Source organism: Homo sapiens, chromosome 6 (assembly GCF_000001405.40).
Source record: "Homo sapiens chromosome 6, GRCh38.p14 Primary Assembly".
Taxonomy (NCBI): Eukaryota; Metazoa; Chordata; class Mammalia; order Primates; family Hominidae; genus Homo; species Homo sapiens.
The window spans coordinates 151,403,996-151,417,272 of NC_000006.12; the positions used below are offsets into that span (position 1 = coordinate 151,403,996).

General features: G+C 43.3%; 1 protein-coding gene, 1 long non-coding RNA gene and 1 pseudogene across 6 annotated transcripts in view; all 3 read right to left on the reverse strand.

Moving 5' to 3' along the window:
• The window catches only part of RMND1 (required for meiotic nuclear division 1 homolog), a 47,365-nt gene continuing 34,854 nt past the window's right edge, over positions 767 to 13,277 (reverse strand). For 2 of the 5 annotated variants that reach the window (NM_001271937.2, NM_017909.4), the window contains 2 exons: positions 1,725 to 1,841; positions 767 to 1,272 (listed from right to left, as the gene is read on the reverse strand). In NM_001271937.2, the coding sequence (NP_001258866.1) occupies positions 1,240 to 1,272; positions 1,725 to 1,841 (150 nt within the window). In that variant the 3' untranslated portion in view covers positions 767 to 1,239. Of the gene's footprint in view, positions 1,273 to 1,724; positions 1,842 to 4,647; positions 4,906 to 13,277 lie in introns of those variants that run through there. The other 3 variants (XM_047418961.1, XM_047418960.1, XM_047418959.1) reach the window with 2 other exon arrangements.
• Positions 7,267 to 9,962, reverse strand: HSPA8P15 (heat shock protein family A (Hsp70) member 8 pseudogene 15; annotated as a pseudogene).
• Positions 11,423 to 13,276, reverse strand: LOC124901433 (uncharacterized). Its single transcript, XR_007059814.1, has 2 exons — positions 13,086 to 13,276; positions 11,423 to 11,553 (listed from the first exon to the last, which is right to left on the reverse strand). It is a non-coding gene; the product is annotated as an uncharacterized LOC124901433 (long non-coding RNA).

Here is a 13,277-nt window from a genome sequence, read left to right on the forward strand (position 1 = left end):
GGTAAATATGTAGATGTTAAATTCTTTGTGCTTGGTATTTTTTAAATTTCCCCAAAATATCTCTGGAACAAACATCTGTGGGAAGAATATTGTGACTAACTTGGTGAAAGGACAAAGTATTAATAAAAGGTGCCGGTGAACAGCCATACTCAAATCATGCCATCGAAAATAGGTATTTAAGATTTCATTTCTGCCACCAGAAGCCTGTCTTGTTATTGTATATATTGATTTCTCTCTTTTTTTTTTTTTTTTTTTTTTTTGAGACGGGAGTCTTTCTCTGATGCCCAGGCTGGAGTGCAGTGGCATGATCTCAGCTCACTGCAAGCTCCGCCTCCCGGGTTCATGCCATTCTCCTGCCTCAGCCTCCTGAGTAGCTGGGACTGCAGGCGCCTGCCACCACACCCAGCTAATTTTTTGTATTTTTAGTAGAGACGGGATTTCACCGTGTAATGTTAGCCAGGATGGTCTCGATCTCCTGACCTTGTGATCCACTCGCCTCGGCCTCCCAAAGTGGGATTACAGGCGTGAGCCACCGCGCCCGGCCTGTATATATTGATTTAAACACTTCAGTTCCTGTATGATTCTCTTAGCCAGGGCCATGATGGGATTCCCTGGGGATAGGTTAAGTTGTGGTGTCTAAAACCTAAGTCCTGTGACTTTAAGAAGTATCTGCCAAGATTTGCCAAGATTTCCTAGATGCTAGTTTTCCAAAGTTCTTAACTGAAATATTTACCTTTTGAATTGTCAGTGATGTAGATACAAACACTAGATTCTTCATAATTTTATTCACACGATATACTGGGCTGAAAAAGATAATTTCTTGATTAAAAAAACACCTATTAAATGATCACCCAGTAGTGAACATTTATTTATTTATTTTATTGTTTATTTTTGAGACTGAGTCTCACTGTTGCCCTGGCTGGAGTGCAGTGGTGTGATCTTAGCTCACTGCAACCTCCGCCTCCCAAGTTCAAGAGATTCTCCTGCCTCAGCCTCCTGAGTAGCTGAGATGACGGGCGTGTGCCAACACACCTGGCTAATTTTGGTATTTTTAGTAGAGATGGGGTTTCACCATGTTGGCCAGGCTTGTCTTGAGCTCCTGATCTCATCTCAAGCCACCCTTCTTGGCCTCCGAAAGTGCTGGGATTACAGGCATGAGGCACCGCGCCGGGCCGAACATTTAATTTTTGATTGTAGAACTTGAATATCTCTTGCAGTGACACTTTGGTTATCACTTGATCAGAAAAATACTCGTCCCAGCTCAAACATTACCTTAGAATAGAAAGTGAGAATTATTTCATGACGGGCAAATTATGGGTACAAACTAAAATGACTTCCAAGATTGTGATTAATGAGAAATGCTCCTGAAGTAAGGTAAATGTTTGCCCTTTCTCACGTGGCAACCTATGAATTGGAGGTACGGGTGCTTGATTTGATGTTGAGCTGTACATTATAAATTTACAGCTAGAACTTTTTCCAAATGCTGTCTTTAAAAGCAGAACCTTGAGGTCTACTCTCAAATTTTAAAAAGTGGAACCTTTTCAAGAATTACTTTTAATGCATTTGCAAATAGTAATTTGAAACTTCCAAATAGAGTTAGTAATGATAACAAAGTCAGCCTCTTTTCTGCTAATAATTTTCTATCTCAAACTATCTTATTAGCATAGCCCCTGTATTTGTGAAAAGATGGTAACTGATCATAGTACAGAGCATTTCCATCTTACCTCTATGGTAATGAGGATGACAATCATCCACTCCAAGCGGAGTGCCCTCTTCTCATTCAGGTGATTCCGCATTAGATCTGTTAGTTCCATGCAGTGCTGAAGTTTTTCATTCATGACCTATGTAAGAAAAATTTCAGTAACATGTATTTAAACAATTTAATACGGTCATACACATAAAAATTCTATAGCTATACAGTGAAAAATCCTGCTCCTCAGTCCTCTCCCCAAAGGCAGCCACCAACATTATCAGTTTCTTGTGAATCCGTCCAGAGACATTTTGTAATGTACAAATTTAACTGCAAGAAATACTTTGCATACTGAAGCTCTTCTATTTGTAAGATTTTGATGGAAGAACTAAAAATAGGTTTTTGAGTCCTAGTTTTTAGTAGCTGCCCTTTTTAGCAGTTAAAAGAGGCAAACTTGAAACATAATGTTTTTTAGCAAGACCTAAAGATAATTTACTTTCTACTAGAAAATCTACGCTTAACATTTGACCTGCTGTACACACACCACTAGATGGCATTGCTTTCAACTGAACTGCAACAGTTCTGCATTCCGATGCCTCCAAACAAGCTGGCTGTGGGGGTTCAAAGAAAATAAAGTCCCTGAATTCAAAATTTGGATGTGACAACTTTTTTTTTTGTTGTTGTTGTTGTTTTTTGGGATGGAGTCTCCCTCTGTCGCCCAGGCCGGAGTGTAATGGCGGATCTCGGCTCACTGCAAGCTCTGCCTCCTGGGATCACGCCATTCTCCTGCCTCAGCCTCCCAAATAGCTGGGACTACAGGTGCCCGCCACCACGCCCGGCTAATTTTTGTATTTTTAGTAGAGATGATGTTAGCCAGGATGGTCTCGATCTCCTGACCTTGTGATCCGCCCGCCTCGGCCTCCCAAAGTGCTGGGATTACAGGCGTGAGCCACCGTGCCAGGCCTGGATGTGATAACTGTTAAATACCTACCTAATATCTTTATATATCACTTGCTACTGGAAATCCTGAAAGCAAAATTTTAAAACAGTTTGTCTCATGGGTATGCTGAAGTTACAGGTTTGGTCAGTGAACATTAAGAGATGAATCACAGGTACGTGTTCAGGGGTTGATTGGAATGCGTTAACTGCACCATGTTACGATTTTTGCACATAGCATTAAACTGCCTTACTAGGCTGGGCTCGGTGGCTTATGCCTGTAATCCTAGCATTTTGGGAGGCTGAGGCAGGAGGCGCACTTGAGCTCAGGAGTTGGAGACCAGCCTGGGCAACACAGTGAAACCCTGTCTCTACAAAAAAATTAGCCAGGCATGGTGGTGTGTGCCTGTAGTTCTAGCTACTTGGCAGGGATGAGGTGGGAGGATTGCTTGAGCTCAGGTGGTCAAGGCTGCAATGAGCCAAGATCATGCCACTGCACTCCAGCCTGGGTGCCAAAGTGAGATCCTGTCTCCAAAAAAAAACTGTCTTACTCACAGAACCACAGGACTAACTGACTGAACCACACTCCACCATTTGCCCCTATTTCCAGGCGTTATGGTCACCCTGTAGTTTCTAATCTGTATAGATGTGTAGAGCATGCCTCTTCCCTCTTCCTTTCCCCTCCCTGTTTTCCTTTCCTCTTGCCCTTTCTTAATGTCTGTTTCTATTGGCTGCTTGATCTTGGTCTTTAATGTTCATCCTTAAGCTTGCTTCTCTCTTCAGACTACTGATTCAGCCTCTTGCATTTTCTTTCAACTTGGGCCAAAAAACAGGCAACATTTTCTTCCTCCACTACCTCATCATCATCCAATTTATTCCTTTAGTTTATATTACCACAACTCTCCTAAACGTCCCAAAGTCTATTATTAAGTCTAACAACTTAGCTTCGAACCTCAATCCAAGCATCTGACAACACACTGAAATGTGCAAGCAAGAGTCCCTATGGCCGGGTGCAGTGGCTCTTGCCTATAATCACAACACTTCGGGAGGCTGGGGCAGGAGGATCACGAGGTCAGGAGATCAAGACCATCCTGGCTAACAGGGTAAAACCCCATCTCTACTAAAAATACAAAAAAATTATCCGGGTGTTGTGGCGGCCCCTGTTGTCCCAGCCAGTCAGGAGGCTGAGGCAGGAGAATAGTGTGAACCCAGCCGGGAGGTGGAGCTTGCAGTGAGCCAAGATCGCGCCACTGCACTCCAGCCTGGGCGACAGAGCGAGACTCCGTCACACACACAAAAAAAAGTCACTATTACCACAGCATGCTTTCTATTTATTTAGGTATAGAGGCATGTACGCGTCGAGCATGCAGATTAAGGGAGCAAAGAAAAAACCAGGAGAGGCTTCACAGAGGTAGGAAATGTGAATTAGGCTTTAAAAGGCAGTGGACATGAAGAAAAGGTGGGATGCTGGTGGGGTTATTGGGGGATGAAGGGAGCATGTCAAGCATAGGAAACAGCATACAGACAAGCATAGCTAGATTGTGGACAACCTAGAAGAAAGTGCTTGGAAGTGAGGTTAAGAAGGTAAGTCAGCTGGGGGCGGTGGCTCCCATCTGTAATCTCAGCATTTTGGGAGGCCAAGGCAGGCGGATCACTTGAGGTCAGTTTAAGACCAGCATGGCCAACATAGCGAAACCCCGTCTCTACTAAAAATAGAAAAATTAGCTGGGTGTGGTGGCAGGCACCTGTAATCCCAGCTATTTGGGAGGCTGAGGCAGGAGAATCACTTGAACCCAGGAGTCGGTGGTTGCAGTGAGCCAAGACCACGGCATTGAACTCCATCTCAGAAAAAAAGAAGTTAGTACCAGATTGTGAGAGGTACTGTGTACTACATATGGTATAGGCAGAACCATGTCCCCCACCCCAAAGAGATTTATGTCCTAATTCTTGGAACCTGTGAATATAATATGGCAAAGGAGAATTAAGATTGTATAAGAAATTAAAGTTATTAATTAGCTGACCTTAAGATGAGATAATCCTAGATTATCTGGGTAAGCCCAATGTAATCACAAGGGTCCTTAAAAGTGGAAATGCGGGGCAGAAGAGTTCAGAATGATACAATATGAGGATTCCACAGGCCTTTGCTAGATGGAGGAGGGGGCCATGAGCAAGGAATATGGGTGGCCTCCAGTCACTGGAAAAGGTGAGGAAATGGATTCCACTCGCAGTCTCCAAAGAGGAATCAACATCTTAACTTTAGGCCATGCCAGACTTCTGACCTACAGAACAGTAAGATGACAAATTTCTGTTAAGCAGCAGTAGGAAAGTAGCATGTCATGCTAGAATATCTGAACTTCATTCTGCAGGTAATGGGGAGGCCTTTGTTCAGTCTGGAAGTACTTGTTTTAACATTTACTGTACTACGCTGGGCAGAGGAGACAGAATGGTGAAATAGACATGTGTCTGTCTTGCAGCCAAAGGGTGCAGAGAGACTGGGAAAAGGTCCAGTCTGGAGACTGAGAGAGTCAAGAAGGAATCAGACAAGTCCAGGTGGGAAAGGAAGATGAGGGGCTGTGTGGATGAACATTAATAGTTGGGGGCTTGAAGACGGGTCAGTATGGTATTCCCCTGTTTCACCAGCCTAGGGCCTATCATACAGGCTTTCAATAAATGTTTGCTAATGAATCCATGATACTTAGAGGGAACTAAAAAGATTGTTTGACTGGATATGGAAGGTGAAGGAGAAAAAGGACACCCAGATGACTTTTAAGTTTCTGGTTGAATGACTAGATAGGTGAGGCTAGAAGGTCCTCCCATGAGCTGAAATAGAGAACTGAAAAGGTTTACCATTTTCTGGGGTGGGGGGGAATTTCAAAAGTTTCATTTTGAAATTTTAATCATTGACTAATTCTACAAATATTTCTTGCGGACATACTGTATGTGAGGCCTTTGCCAAGAACAGGCAAGAAAATAATCATGGTCTCCGATCTCATGGGGCTTACATTCTAGTGGAAAATGGTACACACAATTTTTAAAAGGATGCGACGAGATATGTAAATGAGGAAGATCTGTGAGATTGAGGGGCAACTGGAAAAGTCTGGAAGGCAGACAAGAGACTGGGATGAGAGAGACATTTGAAAATCCCCAGGAGAAGGTGGGATTAGAAGTCACGACAACAAACAAGTGTTCACGGAGAAGGTGGCATGGGGACAGAAGCCTCAGCGACAGGACTTCAGGGGATACTGACGTGAGAAAATGGAGCGAGGGATCCACTGCCAACTAGTTTCTGTCCCATGACACTGTGTAACTGCTCTCTGCATCTGGACCTCTGTACTCAACTTTTTAGCATGTCTTATGCCTACTCACCCCTATTTTCTCAAGACCCTTTCTTCTACTTTTTGAGGGGGAATAAAAAACCCCGCTACTCTTTGTTCCATTTTTTTTTTTTTTTGAGGCGGAGTCTTGCTCTGTCACCCAGGCTGGACTGCAGTGGCACAATCTCCGCTCACTGCAAGCTCTCCCTCCCGGGTTCACGCCATTCTCCTGCCTCAGCCTCCCGAGTAGCTGGGACTACAGACGCCCGCCACCACGCCCAGCTAATTTTTTTGTATTTTTAGTAGAGACGGGGTCTCACCATGTTAGCCAGGATGGTCTGGATCTCCTGACCTTGTGATCCGCCCTCCTTGGCCTCCCAAAATGCTGGGATTACAGGCATGAGCCACCGCACCCGGCCTGTTCCATCTGTTTTCTTAGAAGACTGTAAAGCTGGCTGAAGGGCAGGACCAATTCTTACTTTTCTTTTGTATTATGTATAATGCCAGCACTATGCTGAGCCTAAGGCAGGGTGAACTCTCAACCCCTTCTAAATAACCTTGACATAATCCAACGAGTCTGAACTGCCTTCGGGATGCTGAGAAAAAACTCTGAGAAAGGTAGTTTGAGACCTTTTAGGTATGCTTCATAACTCATGCAGAAGACTTAACACCAAAAAAGATGTCCCACAGTGAGACTGGGGAATGAAATAAAGAACAATTACTTGCTCAGATTACTCCAATTGATTAATTAATATTATTCTGGAATAGTTGAATCACTCAATTCAAACCTGAGTAATTCAAGTTTTGGGTGCTACTATAAACAGAAGTTTTAAAATTTCATTTTCCAATTGTGTATTTGCAGTATAACGAAAGATAACCGTTTTTATACATTGATCTTGAGACCTTGATAAACTCACTTATTCTGGTAGCTTCTTTGTAGATTCTTCCAGGTCTTCTACATACAAGATCATACTGCCTGTAAATAAATTCAGTTCTAGTTCTTCCTGTAGGAGACTTTATCTTATTTATTAATTATTTTTTTGGAGATAAGTCTCACTCTGTCACCCAGGCTGGAGTGCAGTGGTGCAATCTCAGCTCATCGGAACCTTTGCCTCCCAAGTTCAAGTGATTCTAGTGCCTCAGCCCCTCAAGTACCTGGGATCACAGGCATGCACCACCAGGCCCGGCTAATTTTTGTATTTTTAGTAGAGACAGGTTTCACCATGTTGGCCAGGCTGGTCTTGAACTCCTGGCCTCAAGCGATCCTCCCACCTTGGCCTCCCAAAGTGCTGGGATTACAGGTGTGAGCCACCATGCCCGGCCCTATAAGAGATTTTAAATCTTGGGGATATAAATAGAGCCACCCGTGAAGGACTGGTGATATGTCTGGGTGACATTGCTTATGGCTTTCTCCACAGGTGTAGGGTGCCAGGGACTGGGGTGGCTTTTGATTCTTCCAGCTGCTCATGTGCACAGAGGTATAGATGTGAACCCCTTCATGGAGGGACTCAATCTCAAATTGGCCTCGATACCAGAATGAAGAGCACATTCAGTAGAGGCAGAAGGGGCTTGGGCAGCCTGCTTGTTCTCAACGGGTGTCCTTTCTATAACTGCAGTTGATCTCAGCCATGAAACAGCTGACCACTTAGTTGTCAAGGTACTCTTCACTCAGGTGGGTATCCTCAGTTGCAGACTTGACTTCAGTAATTCCATCTTGAATACTGAGGATGGACAGATAAAAAATGCCACCCAGGTAAAAGATCAGATCATTAAATTTGGCATTAACGTTCTCGTCTAAGCTGAGACCAGCGGCATTTGGCTTGCTGACAATTCAGAACACAATGAGATCAGTAATGGTTCCACCAACTTTGATGGCCTGAAGCTGGCAACCATTAAAGTAACTGGTAGTATGAGGATCGTGTAGGTCAGGGGTCATAAAGTAGGTTTCCAGAATTTTCTCCATCTTTTTCAAAACCAATGTGGTAGGCAGATTTCTAAGATGCCACCCAAAGACTCCCCACCTCCTGGTGTTCACTTTTGTGTCATCCCCTACCCTCGAGCGTAGGCTCAGTCTAATAACTTGCCTTTTTTTTTCTTGAGACGAAGTTTTGCTGTTTCATCCAGGCTGATCTTGGCTCACTGCAACCTCTGCCCCCCTTAGGTTCAAGCGATTTTCCTGCCTCAGCCTCCCAAGTGACTGGGATTACAGGCGTCCACCACCATGCCCAGCTAATTTTTGTATTTTTAGTAGAGACAGGGTTTCACCATGTTAGCCACGCTGGCCTTGAACTCCTGACCTCAGGTGATCCACTCACCTCGGCCTCCCGAAGTGCTGGGATTACAGGTGTGAGCCACCACGACTGGCCATAACTTGCTTTTTAATTTTTTTTTTTTTTTAAAGAGATGGGCGGGGGTATCACTATGTTGACCAGGCTGGTCTTGAACTCCTGGCCTCAAGTGACCCTCCCATCTCAGCCTCCCAAAGGGCTAGGATTATAAGCATGAGCCACTGTGCCTGGCCCTAACTTGTTTTTAACAAAGAGAGCACAGCAAAAATCACTTCTGTGATTAGGTTGCAAAAGACTGTGACTTCTGTTTTACTAGCATTCTCTTCCTGACAGTCTCTCTTGCTCTCTGTATTAGTCCAGTCTCTCACTGCTATAAAGAAATACCTGAGACGGGGTAATTTATAAAGAAAAGAGGCCTAATTGGCTCATGGTTCTGCACTGTTCTACAGGAAGCATGATGCTGGCATGTGCTTGGCTTCTGGGGAAGCCTCCAGAAACTTACAATCATAGTGGAAGGTGAAGGGAGAGCAGGTACCTTACATGGCAGAAGCGAAGAAGAGCGAACAAGGGGAGATGCAGGTGCTACACACTTTTAAACAACCTCACGAGAACTCACTGTCACAAGAACAGCACCAAGGGGATGGTGCCAAACCACTCATGAGAAATCTACCCTGATGATCCAGTCACCCCCCCACCAGGACCCACCTCCAACACGGGCATTACCATTCGACACAAGATTTGGGCAGGGATACAGATCTAAACCATATCACTCCCCTACTTGTTCATCTGATGAAGCACACTGCCATGTTGTGAGATGCTCTATGGAGAAGCTTCTGGACATCAGCTTATGAGGAACTGAGGCCTCAATCTAATAGCCTGAGAGGAACCAAATCCAGCCAATAACCACGAGTGAACTAGGAAGTGAATCTCTGAGATGACTGCAGCCTTGTGAGAAACACAGAATCAGAGGACCCAGCTAAGCTGCACTGATTCCTGACCCACAAAAACTTAAATAGTAAGTGGTGTTTCTTTTTTCTTTTTATTTTTTGAGACAGTCTCACTCTGTCACCCAGGCTGGAGTGCAGTGGTGCAGTCTCAGCTCAGTCCAACCTCTGCCTCCTGGGTTCAAGTGATTCTCATGCCTCAGCCTCCAGAGTCAGCTACTTGGGACTACAGGTGCATGCCACCATGCCCGACTAATTTATGGGGTTTCACCATGTTGGCCAGGCTGGTCTTGAACTCCTGGCCTCATGTGACCTGCCTGCCTTGGCCTACCAAAGTGCTGGGGTAACAGGCGTGAGCCACCGTGCCCAGCCAGTAAGTGGTGTTTCAGTCCACCAAGTTTTGGGGTAATTTGTTACACAGCAATAGCTAACACAACCACAGGAAATACCTCAACTGTATAAAGCTTTTAGTATCCCTCCCTTTCCTCCTCTGGATCTTCAGCCTGTGTGCACAGTCGACAACCAGGAAAGTCCAGTGCTTTTCATGTTTGACCAGACAGTTGGACTGTCAAATCGGTGTCTAATTACACCTCTGTTATCTAAAACTGTGTTGATGGAGTCCACTGAATTTGATTCCTAAACCATCACTAATCAATCTTTCTGTGTCAGCTAAAAGCAACATAGCTTGGTTTTCTTGCCGAGTGGTGATGATCTCTACTGTCCTGTGCTGGAAGACACCTACAGAGGAATAGGTGGTGCCAAGATCAGTGACAACTGCAGATAGCTTTGATGTGGTTTTGCAAGGGGCGGTGTCTAGCTTAGAGGAAAAAAATGTAGACACTAAAGTGGAACATAGCATTCAATAAGCCATGGTAGGTTTTTGAAATTATAAATCATGTATTTTTTATTTTTATTTTTTTGAGACAGGGTCTCACTCTGTCACCTAGACTGGGATGTAGTGGCGTGATCATGGCTCACTGCAGCCTCAAACTCCTGGGCTAAAGCAATCCTCCTGCCTCAACCTCCCAGGGTAGCTGAGACTACAGGCACATGCCATTATACCTGGCTAATTTTTTTAAAAAAAAGGTTAGTAGAAATGAGGTCTCATTGTGTTTCCCAGGCTAATCACTTATTTTTGATGTGATACAAGGTGAATGTGGGGATTGGTAGGAAATATGATTGAAAAACAGAAACAATAGGAAGGACCTTGTATATCAAGCCAGAACACTTGAGGCAATGAGGGAAACTGGAGGTATTAAAATTAGTTGGAGGGAATCAGAAAAGACAATCAGTAGACACTAATATCAAGAGGTATCTGAGGTTAGGTATTATTAGATGATGTTAGAGCAACCATCATAAAAATGATTCAACAAGCAATTCTGAACACATTTGAAACAAACGAAAAAGCAGGAAGTCTCTGCAAAGAAACAGAAGATACAAATAAAAAAACATGGAAATTTTAGAACTGAAAAATATAATAAATGAAATAAACTCAATGTTGGGCAGCAGAACGAATGTAACAGAGGAAGGAATCAATCAACTAGAAGATGAAACAAAGGACATTACCCAATCTTAACAGAGACAAAATATACTGGAAAAGAAGTGAACAGAGCCTCAAAGACCTTGTGAAATGATAATAAAAGATAAAATGTAGATGTCATAGAATTATGGCAGATTTCCGTCAGAAACCATGGAGGTCAGAAGGAAGTGGCATGGCATTTTTCAGGTGCTGAAAGAAAGAAAACTGTCTACCTAGAATCCTATTTCTAGGAAAATATCCTGCAAGAATGAAGAGAAAATTAATACACTCTCAGATGAAGACAAACTAAGAGAATTTGTCTCACTAGACTTACCTTAAAAGAATGGCTAAATAAAGTTCTTGAAAAAAAAAAACAGTAAAAGAAATCTTAGAAGATCAGAAGGAGAAAAGAACAGAAAGAATAAAAACATGGGCACATACAACAGACTTTGCTTTTCTTAGTTTTCTAAATTATGTTTGATGGTTGAAGCAAAAATTATAACATTATCTGATGAAGTTTTCTATGTCTGCAGAAGAATAGTTAAGAAAATTATAAATACGGAAGGGTAAAGGAATATAAAAGAAATAAGAATTCTTTTTTTTTTTCTGCATCCAATCATCCATTAGGGAAATAAAGATTCTATACTTCATTTAATCTGCAAGATGTTGAAATCAGTAGATTGTAATAAGTTATATACGTAAGATGTAATAACCAGAGCAACTACTAAATATCTATGCAACGAGATATATTAAAAAGTAACATCAAAATGAAATACCAAAAAATTGTTTCAGTAACCACAGGAAGACAGGAACTTTGATACAAGCAACAATTTGGATGGATCCAAGTTGAGGGCATTATGCTCTGTGAAAAAAGCCAGTTAAAAAGTCACATACAGATCGAGACCATCCTGGCTAAACACAGTGAAACCCCATCTCTACTAAAAATACAAAAAAAAATTAGCTGGGCTTGGTGGCGGGTGCCTGTAGTCCCACCTACTCAGGAGGCTGAGGCAGGAGAATGGCGTGAACCCGGGAGGCAGAGCTTGCAATGAGCCAAGATTGAGCCACTGCACTCCAGCCTGGGCAACAGAGCAAGACTCCGTCTCAAAAAAAAAAAAAAAAAAAAAGTCACATACTGTATGACTATCTATATAACATCCTCAAAATGACAAAATTATGGAGATGGAGAAGAGATTACTCACTGCCAGGGGTTAGGGACAGTCCGGGTAGGGGGAGGGCAGTGTGACTATACAGGGTAGCATGAGGAAAAGTGATAAAACAGTTTTGTGTCTTTTTGTTTTGTTTTTTTTGAGATGGAGTCTCGCTGCAACGCCCAGGCTGGAGTGCAATGGCATGACCTCAGCTCACTGCAACCTCCACTTCCTGGGTTCAAGCGATTCTGCTGCCTCAGCCTCCCGAGTAGCTGGGACTACAGGCACGCGCCACCACACCCAGCTAATTTTTGTATTTTTAGTAGAGACAGCGTTTTACCATATTGGCCAGGCAGGTCTCGAACTCTTGACCTCAAGTGATCTGCCCACCTCTAGCCTCACAAAGTGCTGGGGTTACAGGCATGAGCCACCGCACCTGGCACAGTTTTGTGTCTTGATCATGTGGTTGCATGGATCTATAGATGTGGCAAAATGTCACAGAACTATGTGCACACATTGTACTAATGTCAATTTTCTGTTTTCTATGCTCTTTCCCCATGTGGTCTACCTCCATCACTACAGCTTTTTTTTTTTTTTTTTTTTTGAGACGGAGTCTCACTCTGTCATCCAGGCTGGAGTGCACTGGCTCGACCTTGGCTCACTGCAACCTCCACCTCCTGGGTTCAAGTGATTCTCCTGCCTCAGCCTCTCGAGTAGCTCGGACTATAGGAGAATGCCACCATGCCTGGCTAATTTTTGTATTTTTAGTAGAGACAGGGTTTCGCCATGTTGGCCAGGCTGGTCTCAAACTCCCAACCTCAGGTGATCCATCCGCCTCAGCCTCCCAAAGTGCTGGGATTTCTTAATACACGTCTCTTTTCCCGACTTTGCTTCTGCCCTTCTAAATGCCTGCATGACGGAGCTAATTGGATATCTTGTTGCTACTCTAATCTCAGCATATCTTAGATTTAGTCTGTCACCTCCCCTCTCTGACCTCTCATTATTGTTTTTCCACCTTTCTACTTGTCACCTCCAGGCAAACATCAGTCATCCTTTATTCTTTCTTCTCCATGGCCTCTTATTACCCATCACTTGATTTGTCTTACATGATTCTTTCTTAAATTTATTTCTATTCTCACTGTCACCATGACAGATCAGAAGCAGTCATGAACTCTTGCTTGAAACTTGACAAGAACTTACTGATGGACCATTAGGCTTCCAAACTCTCATCTTATTCACCAACCTTATCTAGTCTGTAGAGCTAATATCAGAAGATCCTTTGACACAAAAAATTGAAGTGACTGTACAGAGGACAAGAAGGGGAAATATAAAGAGATTTGAATGGAAGTCAAACAAGATATTTCTCTGCAAGCAGTTAAACATATTCAACTTATAGGCGACAACGTGTCTTTTTCTCTCATTAGAAGTGCAAAAT